General features: G+C 38.1%; 1 protein-coding gene across 16 annotated transcripts in view; it reads left to right on the top strand.

Annotated features, from left to right (window-relative positions):
* Nucleotides 1–21,802, top strand: part of NSMCE2 (NSE2 SUMO ligase component of SMC5/6 complex) — a 275,261-nt gene that overhangs the window by 24,874 nt on the left and 228,585 nt on the right. The window contains exon 1 of one of the 16 annotated variants that reach the window (XM_017013332.3): nt 10,421–13,621. The exons of 14 other annotated variants lie outside the window; for them this stretch is intronic. In XM_017013332.3, the coding sequence (XP_016868821.1) occupies nt 13,459–13,621 (163 nt within the window). In that variant the 5' untranslated portion in view covers nt 10,421–13,458. Of the gene's footprint in view, nt 1–10,420; nt 13,622–21,802 lie in introns of those variants that run through there. One more of the 16 variants, XM_017013330.3, reaches the window with a different exon arrangement.

Below are 21,802 nucleotides of genomic sequence, written 5' to 3' on the forward strand. Positions count from 1 at the left end.
CTAGCTTTTCAGAGGTGATTTATTTTCTTCTAAGTGATATGTTTGCAGTTTGAGCCACAGAACAAAGCATAGTGCCTAATTATCACTATATGGGCCAATGGCCATACTGAAGATATATCTCTTGATCCAGTTTTTTTACTTAAGCATATAACTTTTTTTTTTTTTTTTTTTTGAGATGGAGCCTCTCTCTGTCACCCACTCTGGTGGGCAGTGGCATGATCTTGGCTCATTGCAACCTCCACCTCCTGGGTTCAAACAGTTTTCCTGCCTTAGCCTCCCAAGTAGCTGGGACTACAGGCGCTCTCCTCTAAGACCTAAATGGAAAAGAAACAATTTAGCAGAGCTTCATCAGATTTGCTTTTTTCTTGATTACTTTATAATATAGTTACACAAAGCAGATGTATACAGTGGACTTGCAGTGGTGTCTATTAGCATTAGGGTAGCTGCTGCTTAATTTAAAAAATCACCAATATTCAGCTTCTTTGGCTTTTTATTTTTTTTTCTTTGAGACAGAGTCTTGCTCTGTCACCCAGGCTGGAGTGTGGTGGCATGATCTCGGCTCACTGCAACCTCCACCTCCCAGGTTCAAGCAATTCTCACGCCTCAGCCTCCCAAAGTGCTAGGATTACAGGCGTGAGCCACTGCTCCCAGCCTTCAGTCTCTTTGGCTTTTTGTGTGTTTCCAAGTAAGTGTTCCTCCTTCCTAAGATACCATAATTTGCCATGTCTCGATATCTCGATATCCTGATACCAGTTAATGCGTTTTCTTTGTTCCATGGGGCTTTTTGCATTTATACCTTTTTTATTTTTATTTTATTTTTTTAAGAGATGGGGTCTTACTCTGTCGCCCAAGCTCACAGTAGTCTCTACTGCCCTGGCTCAAATGATTCTCCCAACTCAGCCTCCCAAAGTAGCTGGGACCAGAGGCGTGCACCACGATCCCCAGCTAATTTTTTTATTATTTTTAGAGACAAGGTCTTGCTATGTTGCCCAGGCTAGTCACAAACTGGTCTTCCCTTTTAACTAGGTTTCCTGAGGACAAAGATCTCAGTGTGTTCATCTGATGTCTTCAGAGTCTGGGACTTTAATGCCTATTAGGTGTTGAATCCATATATAAATGCGTTAGTAACTGGCTTTCAAGATTGTGTTCTCTTAATACAAATATCTGGATCAAGAATGTAGGAAGTTACTTTCCAAAATGAGAAAATAAGCCCTTTTGTTAATTTTTGAACCTAATTTTTAAAGACCGCATTCAATTTTTGTGTATGAAATGTCTTAGCCAGAGGTTCTCAAACTTGAGGGTGCATCAGCATCACTTTAGAGAGCTTGCTGGGCCAGGCATGGAGAAGGGTCACAACTGTAATCTTAGCACTTTAGGAGGCCGAGGCGGGCGGATCACCTGAGGTCACGTGACCTCAGCCTGGCCAACATACCCAAACCCCATCTCTACTAAAAATACAAAAATTAGCTGGGCATGGTGGCACACGCCTCTAGTCCCAGCTACTCGGGAGGCTAAGGTGGGAGGATCACTTGAACCCGGGAGGCTAAGGTGGGAGGATCACTTGAACCTGCCAGGAGGCAGAGGTTGCAGTGAGCCGAGATTACACCACCGCACTCCAGCCTGGGTGACAGAGTGAGACTGTCTTAAAAACAAACAAACAAACACACACACACAGAGATTGCTGGACCTTGCCACTAGAGTTTCAGTAGGTCTCGAATGAGTCTAAGAATGTGCATTTCTGAGAAGTTCCCAGGGTCTGCGGGTACACTTTGAGAACCCTTCTCTAGTCAGTATTTCCCATTTGGTAGGAAATACCACTAGGTGGCACCAGAACACTTCTTATGAAGTAGCTATTGGCTTTTTGAACAGTGCTTATTGCACAGTTTAGGATTATATAAAAGATACAATCACTAAATTATTGGAATTTGGAGCCTGAATTATCTCATGTATATAAAAAGTAAAAATGTGTTGATTCTATTAGACCAGAGAACTATACGACTATTAAGGTTAAATTTTTAGATCAACTCTTCCAGGAATGAGGACTATACCTCTCACCTTTGCTGCTCTCCTTTTCAGTTGTGTGGGTTAATCAGTTTCATTTACCAGTGATTGATGCAGATCCTTTCACAAAATAAAAATAAACATTTCATATGAATCATAAGTATTTATTCTTCCAGGTTAATGGATCTTGATTTTGTTATCGATTACATTTTAAAACCACTTTTAAAAGACTTATACATATTGTGCGCATAAATTTCTTGTAATTTTGTCCTTCCTCCAGTGGCCCAGTTGTATTTGGGGCAGTTTTAGAATGTCAAAAAGGGTGAAATGTGCTTTCCTATTGGCTTCCTTACTCAGAAAGTTGAGTAGTTTCCTTTTTAAGAGCTATTGAGAGGAAAGTTTTGGCTGCTGTTCACCTCATCTCACCTCCTGTTACCGTGGAATCTCACTCCATAAATTTCCAATCATTCCAACACCTCCAGATTTTCTTTCCTCCACCGACTGTAACAACCTGAAAGTTGGCATGGTTTCTCCACATGATGGCGTGTGTGGAAATAATTACTTGCTGTGTTCCCCTGTTTGCTAAGCTCTCCCATTCACATTAGGATGTCACTTTGTGAAACAGTAAATGAGTCACTTTTTAGTTTTTAAAACAGCGTGTATAGTATCTGAATACCATCTGGGTTTTTCTAGAATCCTGAGAATAATTTTTCTATTAATTCTGCTTTTTTGTCTTTGGAGCTGAAGCTTGGTTTAGGTTTCAGTGGCCTAACAGGGTTTGAAAATGACCATCACAGAAAAAATGGAATTGGAGTCACTCAATCAGATTAAAATTAGACTAGCACTTTATTATATCTCTTTGATCATTGGAAATAATTGAGACTAGTTTAATGCTAAGCAAAGATGACAGCTTATGGAAGAAGTAGATAGAACAGACTTTAGGATTATTTTTGAGACATCAGATTCCTTTTTAAAAGACATAAAATTTTACGTCTTCTAGTAAGCAGAAAGGAGCTTTTTGTAGATTGGCAATTAACATAGCTAAACCAACTTGATTATTCTAGAGAAGATTATTTTATTATCCAGACCTATTTTTTCTCCCTCTTCTTTCTGTACTTTATAAATGAAATTATTTGTTATATATAAATGTAAAGCATTATTTATATATGTAAAGCATTATTATTTATATATGTAAAGCATTATTTATATAAAGTGTTAGCCACATGTGTAATTTAAAATTTTCTGCTGTCCTTATTACAAAAAGTAAGAAGAAAGAGGAAAGATTACTTTTAGAAATGTTTTATTTAAACAAATATGTCTAAAATATTTTAACATATAATCAATATGAAAGTTACTAATATTATTTTGACTTTTTTGATACTAAAATTAGAATCTTACAGTACATGTCAACCTGGACTAGCCATATTTCATATATTTAGTAGCCACATGTGAAAAGTGGGTACTGTATTAGATAACAGCACAGATATAGGTTATTTCATTTGTCAGTGACTGTGTCAGAGAAGGGCAAGAAAGCATAAGGATATTTAAATCAATCATCATGTAACATTTTAGAAGTTTTGGAGAGTACTCAAATCAAACCAGTCGGTAAAACGAGTTATTATCTGTTGATTTCTTTTGTATTTGTCACTTTTCTACCCTAGGTGTGATTGGTATTTTAATACATAAAATGCCAATTTTAAAAATAGTTTAGTCAGCCTAAAATGACTTACTTCTGAGGATCCTGCTAGTATTTGCTTCTGTTTGAAATGTCATGATAATTTGAATCCACATCTACAGTACTTTCATATTTTGTGGCTGATGTGGTAAACTAGTTTCTTACGATATTGGGCAAGCCAGAGGTTAAGCCTGTTAACTTCAGCAGCCAGAATACTGTACTCTAGTTGCTATAAACAATTAGGCCTGTCAGCAATTGACCTTGGAAATGCTAATTTGCTTGTCCCTGGGTGCTGCCTCAGGCACTGGCTTTCTCTCTGTGGGTGGGAGTTATGAACCTAGTTTGGAGGAGAACTTGAGGCATTTGGGGCAAGCTCCAAACAGATGTGCTTCTTGCTTCATTTTTGCATGTGACCAAGTCGCAAGAGGCGCATTCCTTGCATGAATTTCTTTGAAGGCCTTGTAGAATCAGACATGTATGCCTTGACTAAAGTTGAGAGGAAGCTTTATTACTTTTGAATTTACCCTTCCCTCTTCATTCTACTGCACATCTGCCATAACGAAGGTTGATTGAAAAATGCTACACAGTGATTTTCATCACTATTTCATTGTATTTCTTAAACTTACTGAAAAAGAACTTGGAAGGCATCTTTTATTAACTCTTTTGGTTTTGTGTTTATTACTACTATTATAGTAGAGCCAGGAGAAAGTGGCCTGAATAAGTGAGGAGAAAGAAATGTTAGTTGGAAAAGCTATATATACATGGTGAGAAGTTATAGGTAGCGTGCTCAGTAGATGAAGAAGGGAAAGAGAATATTTATAAAATTCAGAGTTACTGTCTTTTTAAACTGGTGGTGACAGCAGTGGCAGATTTTACTCCAAGACAAAGATTTGCGCTTCCTCTTCTTTTGGGCAGGTAATTTTGGACAAGGTAATTTTGTCCCTTTATTGTACAATACTGATTCAAACATTTATTTGAGGTTGGTTGATTGCCACTGTTGTTAGGTAATTGTTAGCATTTTATGTTGATCAGTCACCAATTATTATTGGCTCATGCCCTCAAAAGGCTAATAATTTTGTTAGCAGATAAGGCAAATAGGTATCCATGCAAAGATCAGGAGAACTACATGGTAGTAAGTAATGTGTGCCAAATGAGGAGACCATGAATCTGTATGTCTCAATCAAGAATCTGTGAATGTATTTTTACATTTTATGACCTAGCAGCCTGATTCTGTATCCCATAGGCATACATCTTTTGTAGACTCTAATTTAATAGGCAACTTAATAATAGCCAACTTGTGATGCTTTTTGTGTACCTGGCATGTTATAAATGCCTTATGTGTATTCATTCATTTAATCCTTACAGAAATACTGTCAGGTAGGTAGGTATCATTACCATTATACATATGAGTAAACTGAACCTTGAGGTTGACCAAGGACTATATACTGTATCTCTGAAGGAGTGGTTTTTGTTTTTTAACCACAATAATGGATTTCAGATTGGAAATATACATTTTAATTATTTACTCCTTACATATTCTCACCCATCATCCTTTGTAACCCTAACCCCTTCCCAATTGCAGTAAGCTCTGAGATAAGTTCTTACCTACGCATTATTGACCTAGGCCTGTGCTCAGTGTAGATAGCTCTTTTGCAGAGCTCTGACACCGTTATGCCTGAAGATGAGTTCTTCATTAAAACCATTTATAGAGTCCATTCTATGCCAACTCTGATGATTGACTTAGAAGGTTCTCTGGCTGAGCCAAAAAAAAAAAAAAAAAAAAAAATGCTGCCTATTATATGAAATGTACTATGCTAGAAATACAAAGATATGAAGATACTTCAACAAATCTCTAGATCCTTACTAGGATTGTAAGTCTTGATTACCGTGAATTGACTTCTTGGATCATCTTTGTTTGATTGTTTCTCTAGCCATAACCAAAGCATCTGGCATTTGCTTCCCGAAAAATGGTAGTTATTACCTTCTACAACTATTTTAAACCCTTGAGCATAACTTACAGAAGGTGCATGATGTCACTGGCTATATCCCCTTATACTCTATATACTCCAGTCATGGAGCCTGGTTTAAGTGCCATCAACATATGCTCTTTAAGCCTCTTTTCTCTGCTCACATGACTTCCTCTCCCTAGAATGCCCTTTCTCTGTTGAGTGCTTTGAGGGCACCAATTCATCTTTCAAGGATAAGCTTAAGTATCATCTTTTTTCTGCAGACATTCCTCTCCCACCCAAACCAAATTGATCTCTTCTTGGGTTCCTCTTTGTTTGTTGTACATTCGTCCATCTAAACAGCAGAGCACTTCTTTGCACTCAGTTGTATTTCAACTATATACTATATATATTTCAACCTTATACTTTAGCATAAGGTATTCTCACCACTAGATACAGGGGTTTGAAAAGACCAGTTAATAATATCCTGTTTCCCAGCCAAGTTGGGGCTTCGTGTTCCAGTCTGTGTTGCACTACTCAACTCTGCCATTTTCACTCAAAAGCAGCCATAAACAATATGTAAACAAATGGATGTGATTTGAATAGTAGTGGGCTGCACTTTACTCATCCGTGGTCTAGAGAAGTTTGATAGTTTTGTCTCATGTCTTTAAAGGCTAAGAATGGGTTAAAATTTCATAAAATCAAAATATAAAGTGATACCTGAAAAGGGATTATAGGGAAGATAACAGAAATGGTTCTTGCAAATATATATATATATTTTTCTGGCCAACTCATTAAATGACTGGTAGGAAATAATTTTTACAAAGAGTACGATATAAGCCTTGACAACTTCTATATCATGGGTTACTGAAAAATCTTACCTATAAAGTTCTCCTAGACTCAGGTGTGTTTATAATAAAGTTTATGTTTTAGTTTCCTCCTTTCCAAAAGCCCTTTACATTTTCTGAAGTTAGTTCCACAATATTTACTAAGTTCCACAATATTTACTAAGCACCTTCTCTCTGAAATATAAAGATATGGAGATATCACTCAACAAATTTATAAATCTTATTGCAGTTATTTTTCTCTCTTAACAATCCTATGAAAATGAAGGAGACACTTGACAGATGAAAGAGCTAAAGCTCGAAGGGTTAAGTGACTTATCTGAAGTCACAAAGTTTGAGATGCTACTCACATCCAGAATATCTTCTGCAGTGCTAACCCACATGTGTACATGCGCACACGCACACAAACACACACACACAAGTGTGCATCTTGTGTAGATCAACATGTCCCATGCCAGTCCTATTTGCCGTTATATGTAGAGCTATTAAGTTTGGAACATTAAGTAAAGAATCCCTCATTATAGGATGCAATTTTGCTGTAATGAAATTCATTTCAGCAGATAATTAATTTAGTATTTAATCACCTTAAATTCTTCTTAATAGTATTTCACCTTGTTTTTTAAAAAAATTCCTCTCAGTTAGTCACTCCCTCTAAATCCCATTAGCTTTTTTATTCTTTTATTTGGTGACAATAACAACTTTATTGAGGTATGATTCACCCATTTAAAATGTACAATTTTGTGGTTTTCAGAATATTCAGAGATATATAACCATCACCACAGTCAATTTTAGAACATTTTCATCACTTCAAAAAAAGAAACCCTGTACCCTTTAGCTATTGCCTTCCTGTTTTCCCATTCTCACTATTCCTAAGGAGCCACTATTCTACTTTCTGTCTCTATAGATTTGCCTATTTCCAGCATCTCATATAAATGGAGTAATGTAATATGTGGTCTTTTGTGACTGGCTGTTTTCTTAGCATAAGGTTTTCAAGGTTCATCCATGTTGCATGTATCAGTAAGTACTTTATTCCTTTTTATAGCTGAATAATATTTCACTGTACTTCTGTTAAATTTATTCATAAACATTTTATTCTTTTTGATTCTATTATAAATGGAATTGTTTTCCTAATTTCACTTTTGGATTGTTTATTGCAAGTGTATAAAAATACAGTTGATTTTTGTATATTGATCATGCTTGCATTCTGAAACTGCTGAACTCATTTATTTGTTCTCATATTTTGATTTTTTAAAGTGGATTCCTCAGGATTTCTCTCTCTCTCTCTCTCTCTCTCTCTCAACAAGGTCTCACTCTGTTGCCCAGGCTGAAGTTCAGTGGGGTGATCAACAGCTCACTGTAGCCTCAACCTTCTAGGCTCAAGCAATCCTCCCACCTCAGTCTCCTGAGTAGCTGGGACTATAGGCTTGCACCACCACACCTGGCTAATTTTTGTATTTTGTAGAGACAAGGTCTTGCTATGTTGGATTGGCTGGTCATGAACTCCTGGGGTCAAGCGATCCTCCTGCCTTGGCCTCCCAAAGTACTAGGATTATAGACATGAGCCACTGCACCCAGCCTCCTCAGGATTTTGTTGTTGTTGTTGTTGTTTTTTGAGACAGAGTCTTACTCTTTTGCCCAGCCTGGGGTGCAGTGGTGTGATCTCAGCTCACTGCAGCCTCCACCTCCTGGGTTCAAGCAATTATCCTGCCTCAGCCTCCTGAGTAGCTGGGACTACAGGTGCCCGCCATCACACCTGACTATGTTTTATATTTTTAGTAGAGATGGGGTTTCACTATGTTGGCCAGGCTGGTCTGGAACTCCTGACTTCCAGTGATCACCCTGCCTCAGCCTCCCAAAGTGCTGGGACTACGGGTGTGAGCCCAGCTAGGATTTTCTGCATACAAGATCATGTCATCTGTGAATGGAGATAGTTTTATTTTTTCCTTTCCAATCTGGATGCCCTTTATTTCTTTTTCTTGCCTAATTGTCCTCGATAGAACCTGCAGTACAATGTTGAGTAAAAGTGTCAAGAGCATACATCCTTTTTACTGATCTTAGGGCAACAGCATCTTTCAATATTAAGTGTAATGTTATCTGGAGAGCTCCCTTCCTCCTGCAGTGGCCTTCTAACGCCCTTTATTGAGAAAGCTTCACATCATTCTCACTGTAAGAGAAAATGCTTCAAGCACTTCCATCTATTATCACAGAGCGGGTATTGAAGGGTGAATTTTGAGCTGAGAGGCAATTAATTGATAACTGGCACAGAACATGAATAAGCAAGTGGAATAAAGCTGTGAAGGTGCTGTGATAGAAACCTAATTGCAGGAAACAGTGAAGGCACCATGGAGTTAGTGGTCAATTCTAGCAGAGGACCTTTAGTAGAACTTCTGTACTGGAAATGAGGACATTAATGATGAGTAGGCATTCCCTAGAGAGTGGGAGAGGGTGTTTCTGAGGGTAGCAAAGATGAGAAGAGCTGTGAGCAGCTTGGTGTCAAGATCTGTGAAAGCTAACAGGTTAGTCTGCCACAGTGTGGCAGGATGTTGGCAGAAGGTGAGAGCTTATGAGTCAGAGACAAAGGTCTTTATCACTTGTTGCACATTGCACATCAAACAGTGTGAGTATCATAGTTCACCTTGTTGTCCCCTCTGTCCCAAGTCCTACATTGGTGAGGAAGGGCCCAGGGTGATACTGTGGAGGGTTTGTGTCACAGCTGAGGAACTTGGGGGCTAAGGGACCCAGATTTTTGTAACGAGCAGTAAACTTCCCTGACCTTTGCCATGGAGGAAGACATCATCTTATTATACTGCCCTCTGATGTAGAAGGAGGCACAACCTCAATCTTCCAGGGTTTTGTTCATTATACAAACATCCTTGAAAACTATAAAAGGGCAGTTAGTCATCCAGGCGGGGTGACTCACACCTGTAATTCCAGCACTTTGAGAGGCCAAGGCGGGCAGATCACTTGAGGTCAGGAGTTCGAGACCAGCTTGGCCAACTTGGTGAAGACTCCATCTCTTCTAAAAATACAGAAATTAAGCTGGCATGGTGGTGGGTGCCTACTAAGGAGGCCGAGGCAGGAGAATCACTTCAACCCAGAGGCAGAGGTTGCAGTGAGCCGAGATTGCGCCATAGCACTCCAGCCTGGGTGACAGTGTGAGACTCTGTTTCAAAAAAAAAAAAACGAGGGGGACAGTTATTGTCTTTGCTCACAAGATGTGAGGAGATGTGTGAGACCATGAGGAATAGTGTCCCAGCACCTGGCAGGTTCAGGGAACTGCATGTTAACTTCAGGTTGGGCCTTTCCAAGAATTTTACCACCACGTATTATAGCTTCAGCACTTACTACCTCAAGAAGATGTAGTACCTTACTTGATGCACGAAAGTCCTATTTGCTGCTGGATTCCTTCTTTCCCTTTTTGGCAAAGAGGGCATCATATTCTGTTGGCTAGGCAGAATAACCTCGAGCTTTCAGAAACAATTTTGGAATCAGGTCGCTAGGTTCAAACACAGCTCTGGCAATTATTAGCATTGTGTAAGTTTTGGTTCTCTCATTTGCAAAATGAGGATAATATTGTAAAATAGCAGTTAACATCTAATAAGTATTTAACTTTGTACCCACACACATCTCCCTTATTCTCACTTTATTTAGGATTGATGTGAGAATTAAATACTGTATATAAAATGCTTTTCACTTGGCACACAGCGTTCTTATTTTATCTGTCAGTTATTTTGTTTTGCTTATAATTATTTGGTTCTTTCGCAGGTGAGAGAGGTGGATGCTTTGGAGCTTTTGGCTCAGAAATGATAATGTACATAACACAGGCAGCCATGAGTTAAAATGCAAGTTCTGCTATCTGCTAGCTCTGTGAGTTTGAACCAGTTACTTCACTTCTTTAGCATTCTTTTCCATGCATGAAAAATATGGACATTATCTCCTTTTCATGGTTCCTGGTTTGATGAAACAGTTACATGCTTTGCTGTCCAAGATTTACTTCTCAACTTGGTTGATCAGCCTGTAAATGCTTGCTTTGGTTATAAAGGGAATTAGTGGAAAAAGAATTTAAAGTGTATGTCTTACTGTTAGGATGGGGAATGGCACTGAGAATGTGTGCTGAGGTTGGGGGAGTACATGATAGTAAGGGCCATGTGTGTTTCTGTGTGGGGGGAGATTGTCTTCTTAATAGGAAAAAATGATGTTTATGATATGGTTTAAGAAACAAAAGTATGTTCTAGTTTTAGAAAAATTAGTATGGGATTTCATTTCAAGCAAAAAAAGATGAGTGCTCCTGTGGGATAGACTAAAATAGGCGTTTAAACCAGTTAACAAAGAAAGATTATGTAATGTGTTACATGGAAGATGCAGTTTTTGTTAGTTGTCTCCCTCTCTTCTTCTGGAATGGAGCCTTCCAGAGTTCTTGGGTCGTTCTGGAGTTTGTTGAGCATTACCCTGTATCTGCCTTATCTTTGTTTTCTGAGTGGTAAGCTTATGAGGGGTTTGGAGTCTTGGCTGAAACTTAATAATACAGGTTGAGTATCCCTTATGTGAAATGTTTGGGACCAGAAGTGTTTCAGATTTCAGATTTTGGAATATTTACATATACATAATGAGATACCTTGGGGATGGGATCCAAGTCTAAACATGAAATTCACTTATGTTTCATATACACATAGCCTGAAGGTAATTTTATACAACATTTTAAGTAATTTTGTGCATGAAACAAGGTTTGTGTTAAGTACTTATGTGTGGAATTTTCCACTTGTGGTGTCATGTCAGCGCTCAAAAAAGCTTTGGATTTTGGAGCATTGAAGATTTTGGATTTTTGAATTGGGGATGCTCACCTTTATTAGAAATACAGCATTGACTAAAATAGACATGGCCATTGTGCTTTGAGCAGAAGCTGGAGAGACTTGGAGAGGGCCAGACTAGTGGTAGTAGGCTCTTGTAAGTCAAATTAAGAAGCTCTTACTTTAGGGCAATGGGAAGGTGTTAAAGAGTTTAAAAATAGGAATAGGATAATTTTATTTTGCATTATTCTCTGGCCATAATGTGGGAAATGGCTTCCTAGGAATATGCCTGGAGGTGTGCCTAACAGTTGGGAGGTTGTTGTAGTAGTTCCCAGCTATTAGGTAGTAGTGACTTGGACTAGAAAGGTGGTAAGGGATTGATGAGAAGTAGATCAATTTATAAAAGACAAAGGAGGAGTAATTGATGAAACTTGATGGTTTATTGAATATGGAAATTGAGGAAAAGGAAGAAGTCAATGGTGATACTCAAATTTCTGACATACGCATCTATGTTAATGGAGGCCCCATTTTCTAAGGTGGTGTGATGCTTTGCTGTTGCTGCTGGAACAAAGTACCACAAACTTAGTGACTTAAAACAACACAAATCTCAAGCCTGAAGTGAATCTTAACTGGGCTAAAAGCAAAGTGTGGCAGGGCCATGTGCCTTTCTGGAGGCTCCAGGGGAAAATCATTGTCTTGCCTTTTCCAGCTTCTAGAGGCAGTGCACATTCCTTGGCTTCTAGCCATCTTCCATCTTCAAACCTGGCAATGGCCCATTGAGTCTTTCTCATCCTGCATCACTATGACATTAACTAACCTGCTTTTCTCTTTCATTAATAACGGGCCTTGTGATTACATTAGGTCCACCCAGATAAGCCTGGATTCTCTCCCCACTGCAAGGTCAGCTGATTAACAATCTTATTTCCATCTATAATCTTAATCCCCCCTTTCCATGTAACATAACATAATTGTGGCACTGGGGGATTATTAGAGGGCCATTAATCTCCTCACAGCAGATAAGAACACGTTTTACAGAGGAAATAAATTTAGTTTTAGAGATGCATTCAAGTGGGGATGACAAATAAACAGTTGGTTTTTGAGCTTGGGATAAAGATATAGATATGACAAAAGCCTATACATGAAAATTGAAGCCATAGAATGAATGTTTGTTTCTTAGGTGGGGAGGGAATACGTGAAATGACAAGAAGGCCCGGGCCAGTGTCCTTAGGGTTTGGGTAAAGTTGCAGGTAGTGAGATTGAGAAGGAGCCACTGGAGGGTAGGAGGAAATCTAGAGGAATTTGATTTTAAGGAGGTTGGTAATGACCTTTATAGACTATTGTGTGTTTGGTCTGAAAGGATACTTAAACATCTTTTTAAGCCTATTGCTATTACAGATCAGGAAATTGAGGCCCAGAGAGATGAAGTCACTTGTCTAAGATTGTATAACTAGTTAATAGAAGTGCTTCTTCATTCCTACTTAGTTTATTTGCCACCCTGCAACCCAGGTCCATTAAATCTTTTCATTTTGAAGATAGTGTTAGGAAAAGATTTGGCTCTGTGTGTGTGTGTGTGTGTGTGTGTGTGTGTGTGTCTGTGTGTTTCATTGATATTCTGAATACTGAGAGCAAATTGCTGGAATGATGTCTGACTGGTGCCTTATTTACATGCAAGTTAAAAATTGTTTATACTAAATAATAGAATTAATAATTACTTTTTAAATCATGTAAACTTTTTTAAATGCAACTTCATCTCTTTTTGCAGTTTCTTTCACCTCATTTTGCAATCTCTCTCTATCCTTTTTATTTTTTCAATAAGTTTTTTATTTTGGAATGATGTTAGATTTACCAAAGTTGTAGATAGTGGAGTTCCCATATACCCATACCCTCACACAGTTCCCTCAGTTGTTAAGAAGATCTTATACTACCATGGTACATTTGTCAAAACTAAGGAACAACTCTGGTACATTCCTGTTGACTAAACTAAATAGTAAGCTCCAGACTTTATTTGGATTTCACTGATATCCTTTTAAAGAACGTTGTCTGGGATCCAATCCAGGATATCACATTGCATTTAATCATCATCTTCGTAGACGCTTCTTAGTTGGTTTCGCTTTTTTTTTTCTTGTAATCCTGACAGTTTTGAGGAATCCTGCTTAGGTGTTTTGTAGAATGTCTCTCAGCTGGAGTTTGTCTGATGTCTTATTATGATTAGATTTGCGTTACAGGTTTTTGGGAAGAAGAGCACAGAGGTCAAGGGCCCTTCTCATCACGTCATATCAAAGCTAGTGCAAGTCATCAACATGACCAGTAATGTCAACCTTGATCACCTGGCCCTAGTAGTGTTTGTCAAGTTTCTTTACTGGAAAGGTACTTTTTTCTTTCTTTTCCCTCTACATACTGTTTTTTGGAAGCAAGTAGCTCGCTGTATCCACACTCAAGGGGACATAATTAAACTCTACCTCCTGGAGGAGTAATTATCTACATAAATTATTTGAAATTCTGTAAAGAGTTTTGTTTTCTCTGCTTCTGCCCCTGCCTTAGGATCAGCTATTTTTCCAAGGGCCCTGGTTCTTTTTGATTGGAAAGTGGTATTGAGAAACCAAGATCTGGGCTCCAGATGTGCTTGCTGCTACCAGAAAGTGACTGCCTCTAAGCCCTTTCAGCAGACAGAGCTAGGAAATATGTGTATGTAGGCTAATGTATGTGTACATACATACCTGTCACTTGTATGTGTATTCATCTGTATCTATATTAAGGGGAACATGTGTTCACACCATTATCTTCAACGCTAATCTAGTGCTGCGTGGTTAAATTCTTTTCTTTTTCCCTGCTGATTTGTAATTTCCCTCACCAACATTAAGAAACTGGACTCCCACCGTCCACTGTACATTTGCTTCTGTGTGTGCCTCCAGTATACATGTAAAGCATTTTCAGAATTATTAGCCTGTGCTTCTGTGACAAACAAGTTCATCAGCTAGCTTAGGGTTTACGGACAGTTCTTTTGCCTTTAGTGTTATGGTTTTCAGTCAGAACACCATTTCCAAGGTTACTTAGGTCATTTCCCTTTGTTCTCCACTTCCTTCAGTGACATTTGTCATGCATTTGCAATACAGTTACATTGTTGTCATAGTCTGGATTCTATTACAGGATCCCCTCATTCCTGATTGTTGGCATTGTGGTAGTTTATTATTATTATTTTTGGATACATTATAATTCTTTGTGAGTGAAATTTACATGGGTCTTGACATACTGCAATCTCTTTTTGAAAATATATACGTACTTGGAAAATATACGCACTGAAGACATACTAGAATGTTTGCTGGCAGCAGTGTTAAGGCTAAGACCAGAGCAGTGAATGAAGCTGCAGTCAGATTTATAGGTCAGCAATCAGGGTTAAAGATGTTCTGCTTTCCGAAGTCAGAATTCACTCATATATAACAAAACTTCAGTAGGCAAGAGCCTACAGATGCTTGGGTTTAGAGAATGAGGCAGATCTCAAATATAAGGCCAAGAATTGAGTTACATCATTACATCAGGATATAGATATTGGAACTTATGCACACCTTGCCCAGCCAACAGGTGCAACACCATGGTAGCTTTTCATTGAGTTCTAACGTGGAAAAAAAAAATGCTTGGAGATTGTAAGTACTTGAGAGGAGAGATTATGTCTCTTTGAAACCCCTACAGAAATGTTTCTTAAACTGCAGTCTTAGAGGCACCTGGGATGTATATTTTAAAAATGCAAAATTGGAGCTTCTGAAAGCAGAGCCCAGAAATCTGCATTTTAAACAAGCATCCCAAGTAATTCTGATACATCCTGAAGTTTGAGAGCCCTATCCCCTCACTTTGAATGGTGAGGTGCCTTGCACAAGTAGGTGCACCCTGTGTGTTTACTAACTTGAATTGCAGGTAAGTAAAAGTTCTTAAGTTCCAGAATTCAAATCTGGGCAGCCTGTCTCCAGAGTCTATGTTAACAACATTGTAAAAGCTTTGCTTTGGGGGATTCATGTCATGCATCCTTAGAGTTTCTCAGGTAAATTAAGCCAAGAAATAATTGCCATTTTGGTGTTTCAGCAACTAAAAATATATGTGTATTCATATTCTTCTTCTTCTTATGGGGAGTTGGTGGGTACAGGATCTTGCTCTGTTGCCCAGGCTGGAGTACAGTGGCACAATCATAGCTCACTGTAAACTGCAACTCCTGGGCTCAAGCCATTCTTCCACCTCAGCTTCCTGAGTAGCTGGGACTACAAGCGTACACCATTGCACCTGGATAATTTTTCAAAAAATGTTTTGTACAGACAGGGTCTCACTATGTTGGCCAGGCTTAGGCAATTCTCCCACTTCTTTGGCCTCCCAAAGTGTTGGGATTACAGGCATGAGCCTCTGTGCCTGACCTGTTCATATTCTTCTGTGTTCAGCTCTCTAGGAAGCAGTGTGATAGCAGTGTTCTTGAATCCTAAGGAGAGGCATGTATCTTAAGACAATTTTTAAATTAAAAAAAAATTTTGGTTTTTTTTTTTGAGACAGGATCTCATTCTGTTGCCCAGGCTGGAGTACACTAGTGCAGTCTCAGCTCACTGCAACCTCCACCTCCTCAGGCTTAAGCAATCCTCCCACCTCAGCCTCCCAAGTAGCTGGGACTACAGATACACGCTACCACACTCGGGTCATTCTTTGTATTTTTAGTAGAGATGGGGTTTTGCCATGTGGCCCAGGCTAGTCTTGAACTGCTGACCTCAAGTGATCCACCCATCTCAGCCTCCCAAAGTGCTGGGATTATAGGTGTGAGCCACCCACACCCAGCCCAATTTTTAAATTGTTAAAAATGGATACAATACTTAAGAAATAATTTGGCAATGTCATATGAATGTAAAAGTACAGTAACATAGAACATGAGATAAGACTAGATTTATAGACCCTTAGGCCTGAAATGCACTTTACAGGTCATCTCATCTAACTCTCTCTTAAAAGTAAGGAAACTGAGCACCAGTAAGATTAAGTTATTAACTCAAAGTCTCAGAGAAAATTGACAGTTGCAGATATCCTGATTCAATCCAATATAATTTCCACTTTCATTCTGCTTCTATCTTCAGTGTCTCTATGAAATGATTAAAAAATTTATTAATTAGATTTTTAAAATCCATTTTAAATTAAAAACTGCAGATATCCACTAGAGGATGATAATTTGTAGCTGAAATTAGAAGCAAATCTAGTAAATTTAGAAGGAATATTCAGTGCAGTTGCAAAAAATAGATGTGAGTAAATGACTAGGATATTTAAGTAGAAAAGTTTGTTTTAAAACAAACATTTTTATGGAATGCTTTATTTTGGGATCTTACATCCAGTTTTGGTTTTCTAGCTTAATGAAAGACTGAAATAATCCAGGGGTGTAAAATGGGAAAACAGCTGGTTGAGTTCTACATTTGTTGAAAACATTGATTTGAAGTAATAGTTTGTCTTTAAATTCAGCCGGGTGTGGTGGCTCATGCCTGCAATCCTGACACTTTGGGAGGCCAAGGCAGGTGATTCACTTGAGCTCAGGAGTTCGAGATCAGCCTGGCCAACATGGTGAAACCCCATCTCTACTAAAAATACACAAAATTAGTGAGGCATGGTGGCTCGCACCTGTAATCCCCCCAGCTACTCTGGAGGCTAAGGCAGGAGAATTGCTTGAACCTGGGAGGCAGAGGTTGCAGTGAGCCGAGATCACGACTGGGCAACAGAGCGAGACTCCATCTCAAAAAAACAAAGCAACAGAGCAAGACTCCATCTCAAAAAACAAAAACCAAAACAAAAAAAAAGAAAAAGAAAAAAGAAATTCTGTGAAATCAGAAAGAGTCTCAGAGAAAACGCCGTTTATGATTTTTAACTTTGTATCATACATTAGAACCGTGGATCTCAAATTTTATCACTAATCAGAATCACTTGGAGGACTTGTTAAACTGCAGATTGCTGGGCTCCAACCCCCAAGGCTTCAGATTCAGGCCTCTGGGGCAGGACTCGAGAATTTGCATTTCTAACAAGTTCCCAGTTGATGGTGATGGTGCTGTTAGTCCAGCCCAACCACACTTTGAGAATGACTAGATTAGAGAAAGCAAATTATAGTACAAAGCAATCATATTCTGGTGAGGGGATTATACATTAAAAGCTGGTTTCTTTCATATTTGTTATGTAAAAAATCTGTATTGATGAATGTTTTCATACTTAACAGAAAAACTGTAACGAGGACACCCAGACATTATGTTATGAAGACTTCTGAGTCATTATGATGAGATTTCATTATATTAAATGTGGTTTAAATTATATAGTTAAATGTACTTTTTTAGTAATAGAGTTACTATTAGAAGTGGAAGTATTATGGCAAGTCTGAAAATATGGGATCTATGTGTGGAGTATATTAAGGGAACTCTATAGTCGCTCCCCATCCTTGTCAACACTTGCTACAGGCAGTCTTCTTACTTTTAGCCATTCTAATAGATATGCAATGGTATCTTATAGTGGTTTTAATTTGATTTTTCTAATGATCATTAAAATTGAGTACCTTTTAATGTGCTTATTTGGCATTTACCTCTTTGGTGAAGTATCTTCAAATCTTGTGTTGCCATTTGTTATTGGACCAGTTTTTTAATCATTGCATTTTGAGGGTTCTTTGTATACTCGGAATAAAAATTCTTTATCAGATATATGATTTGTGAGTATTTCCTTCCAGCCTCTTTGTTTTTAACGGATTCCTTTTTTTTTTTTTTTTTTTTTAAGAGTCGGGGTCTTGCTCTGTTGCTCAGGCTGGAGTACAGTGGCATGATCATAGCTCACTGCAGCCTCTACCTCCTGGCCTCCAGTGATCTTCCTGTCTCAGCTTCCTGAGTAGTTGGGACTATAGGCGTATGCCACCATACCCAGCTAATGAAAAATAAATTTTGTTTTGTTTTGTTTTTGAGATGGAATCTCACTCTGTCACTCAGGCTGGAGTGCAGTGGCTCAATATTGGCTTATTGCAAAGTTCACCTCCCAGGCTCAAGCAACCCTCCCACCTCAGCCTCCTGAGTAGCTGGGACCACAGATGCCACAAATGCCAACCTCCATGTCTGGCTAATTTTTTGTATTTATGGTAGAGATGGGGTTTCACTATGTTGTCCAGGCTGGTCTCAAACTTCTGAGCTCAAGTGATCCACCTGCCTTGGTCTCCCAAAGTGCCAGGATTACAGTTGTAACCTGCTGTGCCTGGCCTAAAAAAGATTTTTTGGGGGACAAGCTCTCTCTATATTGCCCAGGTTGGTCTCAAATTCCTGGCCTTAGGTGATCCTCCCACCTCAACTTCTCAAGTAGCTGGAATTACAAGCTCGAGCCTCTGTGCTTGGCTCAAACAGATTCTTTTGAAGAACAGAAGTTTTTAATTTCTGTGACATCCAGTTTACCAATTTTTTCTCTTGTGGATTGTGCTTTGCTCTTGTATCTAAGAAATCTTTATCTAACCCAAGTTCCCAAAGATTTTCTTCTGTATTTTTCTAGAAATTTTGTAGTTTTAGGTTTTGTATTTAAGTCTGTGATTCTTTCTGACTGAAGTTTTGTATATGGAATAAGGTACGAGGTATAGATCAAAGTTCAGTATTTTCCTTCTTTTTTTTTTCTTTGCATGTGGATAGCCAATTGTCCTAGCACCATTTGTTGCTGAAGACTGTTTTTTCTCAGCTGAATTGCCTTTGCACTTTTGTCTGTTTAGTTGTCCATGTAGGTATATATCCATTTCTGGACACAATTCAATGCTGTTGATCTCTTTTTCCATCTTCATGCCAATAGCACACTATCTTGATTACTGATGCTTTATGATAAATCTTGAAATAAGCTAGTGTTAGTCCTCCATTGTTGTCTTTTTCAAGGTTGTTTTGGCTATTCTAGGTCCTTTGCATTTCCATGTGAATTTTAGACTTGGCTTGTCAATTTCTACAGAGAAGTCGGCCAAGGTTTTGATTGATATTGCATGCCTTGCAGCCTGGAGGCTCTCTCAGGATACTAAGGTGGGCATTTATATGGCTTACCTTGTATGCTTCTAGTCACTCTTGTTCTTTCCTCCTTGCATGATGATGTCCAGTATCTTATAAACCTTTTTTAAAACATTTTTTAATTTTTATTTTTTTGGTTGTTTGAGACAGCAGACAAATCTAGCCCCTGTTAATGGCCAGTGGAAGTATTATGGCAGGTTTTTGATAAACAGGAGAGTAACACCAGACTTGTACTTGAGAAAGAGAATTGGCAACATCATGGAAGAACTATTAGAGGGAAAAGAAAAGAGATTGGAAAAGGAAATGACGAAGGAAACAAATCAATAATCTGAGGAAGAAACAAAGATTGAAATTAAGGCAGCTATAGTTGGAAAGGAAATACTAGCTGACTTTAGCAGGCAGAATAGATAGACATTTGTGACTAGTTAGATGTGGACAGTAAGAGTGAGGAGTCTAAGATGACTTTATGTTTTAGGTCTTGCATATAGTTTGGTTCTGTTTGGTTGCAGAGACTAGGTGCCTGCATGTGGGATGTGATTGATTAGAACCTCCCATTTTATAAATAGTACTGTGGTGTTATAATTGATACCCTGGAGTTCAGAACCAGTTACTCAGTGAATATTAATAGTTCTTTATTTCTTAGTTTGCAGTTCATTATAATTGTCATCCAAACACAGATACACTAGTGGGTGCTTATTCCCATTATAGAAGTAGTTTACTTCACTCAACAAAGAGTTTTTTTGAGGCTTCTGGTAGGTTTAGGTGTTTATGAATTATTACTATTTTTCAATAGGAAGCTTTTAAAGATGGAAAAACAATCTTGGAAGTCACTGATGATTTCAGTCAATTAAATTGAAAATAAAACATCTTTAAAATGTCAATATAAGTAAGGAAAAAATAAAAATTACCTTCTAAAATGTGAGACATCTTTTCAGAAACTTGCAGTGTGTGGAGGTGTAAATATAAGGAGAAATGCAAATTGAATGGGATAAGTATAATGATATTTGTAGTTAATTATGATAACTTATTTTTTGGTGGTGTCAGTGATTTAAATTTTAAAGGATTGATTTGCTATTATTTTCATGAAATCAAAATTTTTTTTTTACTTTCCAACAATAATCATAGAAATTATTCTCCGACAGATAGGAATATGAAATGAAGTTGTTCCCTCCTTTTGTGATCGTGACACTTCTACTCTTTCCTGAAAGAAATGTTTCTCCCCACAAACTACTTCTTATTTAGATGGACATTTGAGAGTTAGGTAAATAACAGAGATTACAGCCTGTCATCATGGATCTTATAATCTAATCAACTTCTTGTCAGATATCTTGGAATCTTAATGCTTATAGGGCTGATTTGTTTAATTAAACTGTTCCTTCATTAACTTTCTGTTTTAAAGGAGGCTGACCCTATTCGTATCTTTTTCTTGGTATAAATGTGTTTAAAATAAGTGTAGAGATATGCTAATCTAAGGCAGTTGCTATCCACATGCAAGCTAAAGGTAATTAACCTTTTTTGAGTGGCTATCTCATTTATGAACTTACTTGATATTTTTGTTCTTGATCCCCCTAATTCTCTCCTGCTCCTTTTTTTACTGGTGTGGTTTCTCTGGCACAGTAGGCATGTTTTCTGATCTAACATGCATAAATCTTAAGAGCGAATTTGACAAAGTCTTATGACATAGAAATGTTTATGCCCAAAGGGTGGTGATTATTGAGGTAGTTAGGCGAATGGACTCTGTTATTTAATAGGTCCTGATTTAAGTCCTGCTTCTGCAGCTTATTACTATATGACTTTAGTTCAAGGTACTTAACCTCTCTGAGCCTGTATTTTCTTTCATAAGATGGTAATAATGATAATGTCTTCTTCACAGAGCTGTTGTAGTAAGGATTAAATGAGATGATGCATGTAAATTGCTTAGCATAATGTCTGGCACATAGTATGTGCTCAATAGATGTTTGCTGTTTATTTAACTTCCTGATAGAAAACCAAGAAAATTTATGTCAAATTTATGTGTCACAGAAAATCAGGGAGACTAGCTGATGAATTAGATAAGATTGAAATTCAGAAAGACTTTCTTTTTACCTCCTGAATGAAATAAAATGTCAGGTTTCAAATTCATGAAATCTGATAGTCTTAAGTTTTGCATTTTAGATTGTAAAAGTCAGCAGTACTAATATAGGAAGGGAGAGATCTGGCTTAATAGTACTTTTTGTTGAGTTTTTTCTTTTTAAATTTATTTTCTCTTTTAGAGACCTGGTCAATCTCTGTCACTCAGGATGGAGTGCAGTGGTATGATCATAGCTGACTGCAGCCTTGAATTCCTGGTTTCAAGTGATCCTCCCACCTCGGTCTCCTGAGTAGCTGGGACTTTACAGGTGCATGCTACTGTGCCTGGCTGATTTTTTTATTTTTAGTAGAGGTGGGGTCATGCTTTGTTGCCCAGGCTGGTCTCGAACTTCTGGCCTGAAGTGATCCTCCTGCCTTGGCTTCTCAAAGTGCTGGGATTACAGATGTGAGCCACTGTGCCTGGCTGGTTTTTTTG

The sequence above is a fragment of the Homo sapiens genome, chromosome 8 (genome assembly GCF_000001405.40).
Source record: "Homo sapiens chromosome 8, GRCh38.p14 Primary Assembly".
Taxonomy (NCBI): Eukaryota; Metazoa; Chordata; class Mammalia; order Primates; family Hominidae; genus Homo; species Homo sapiens.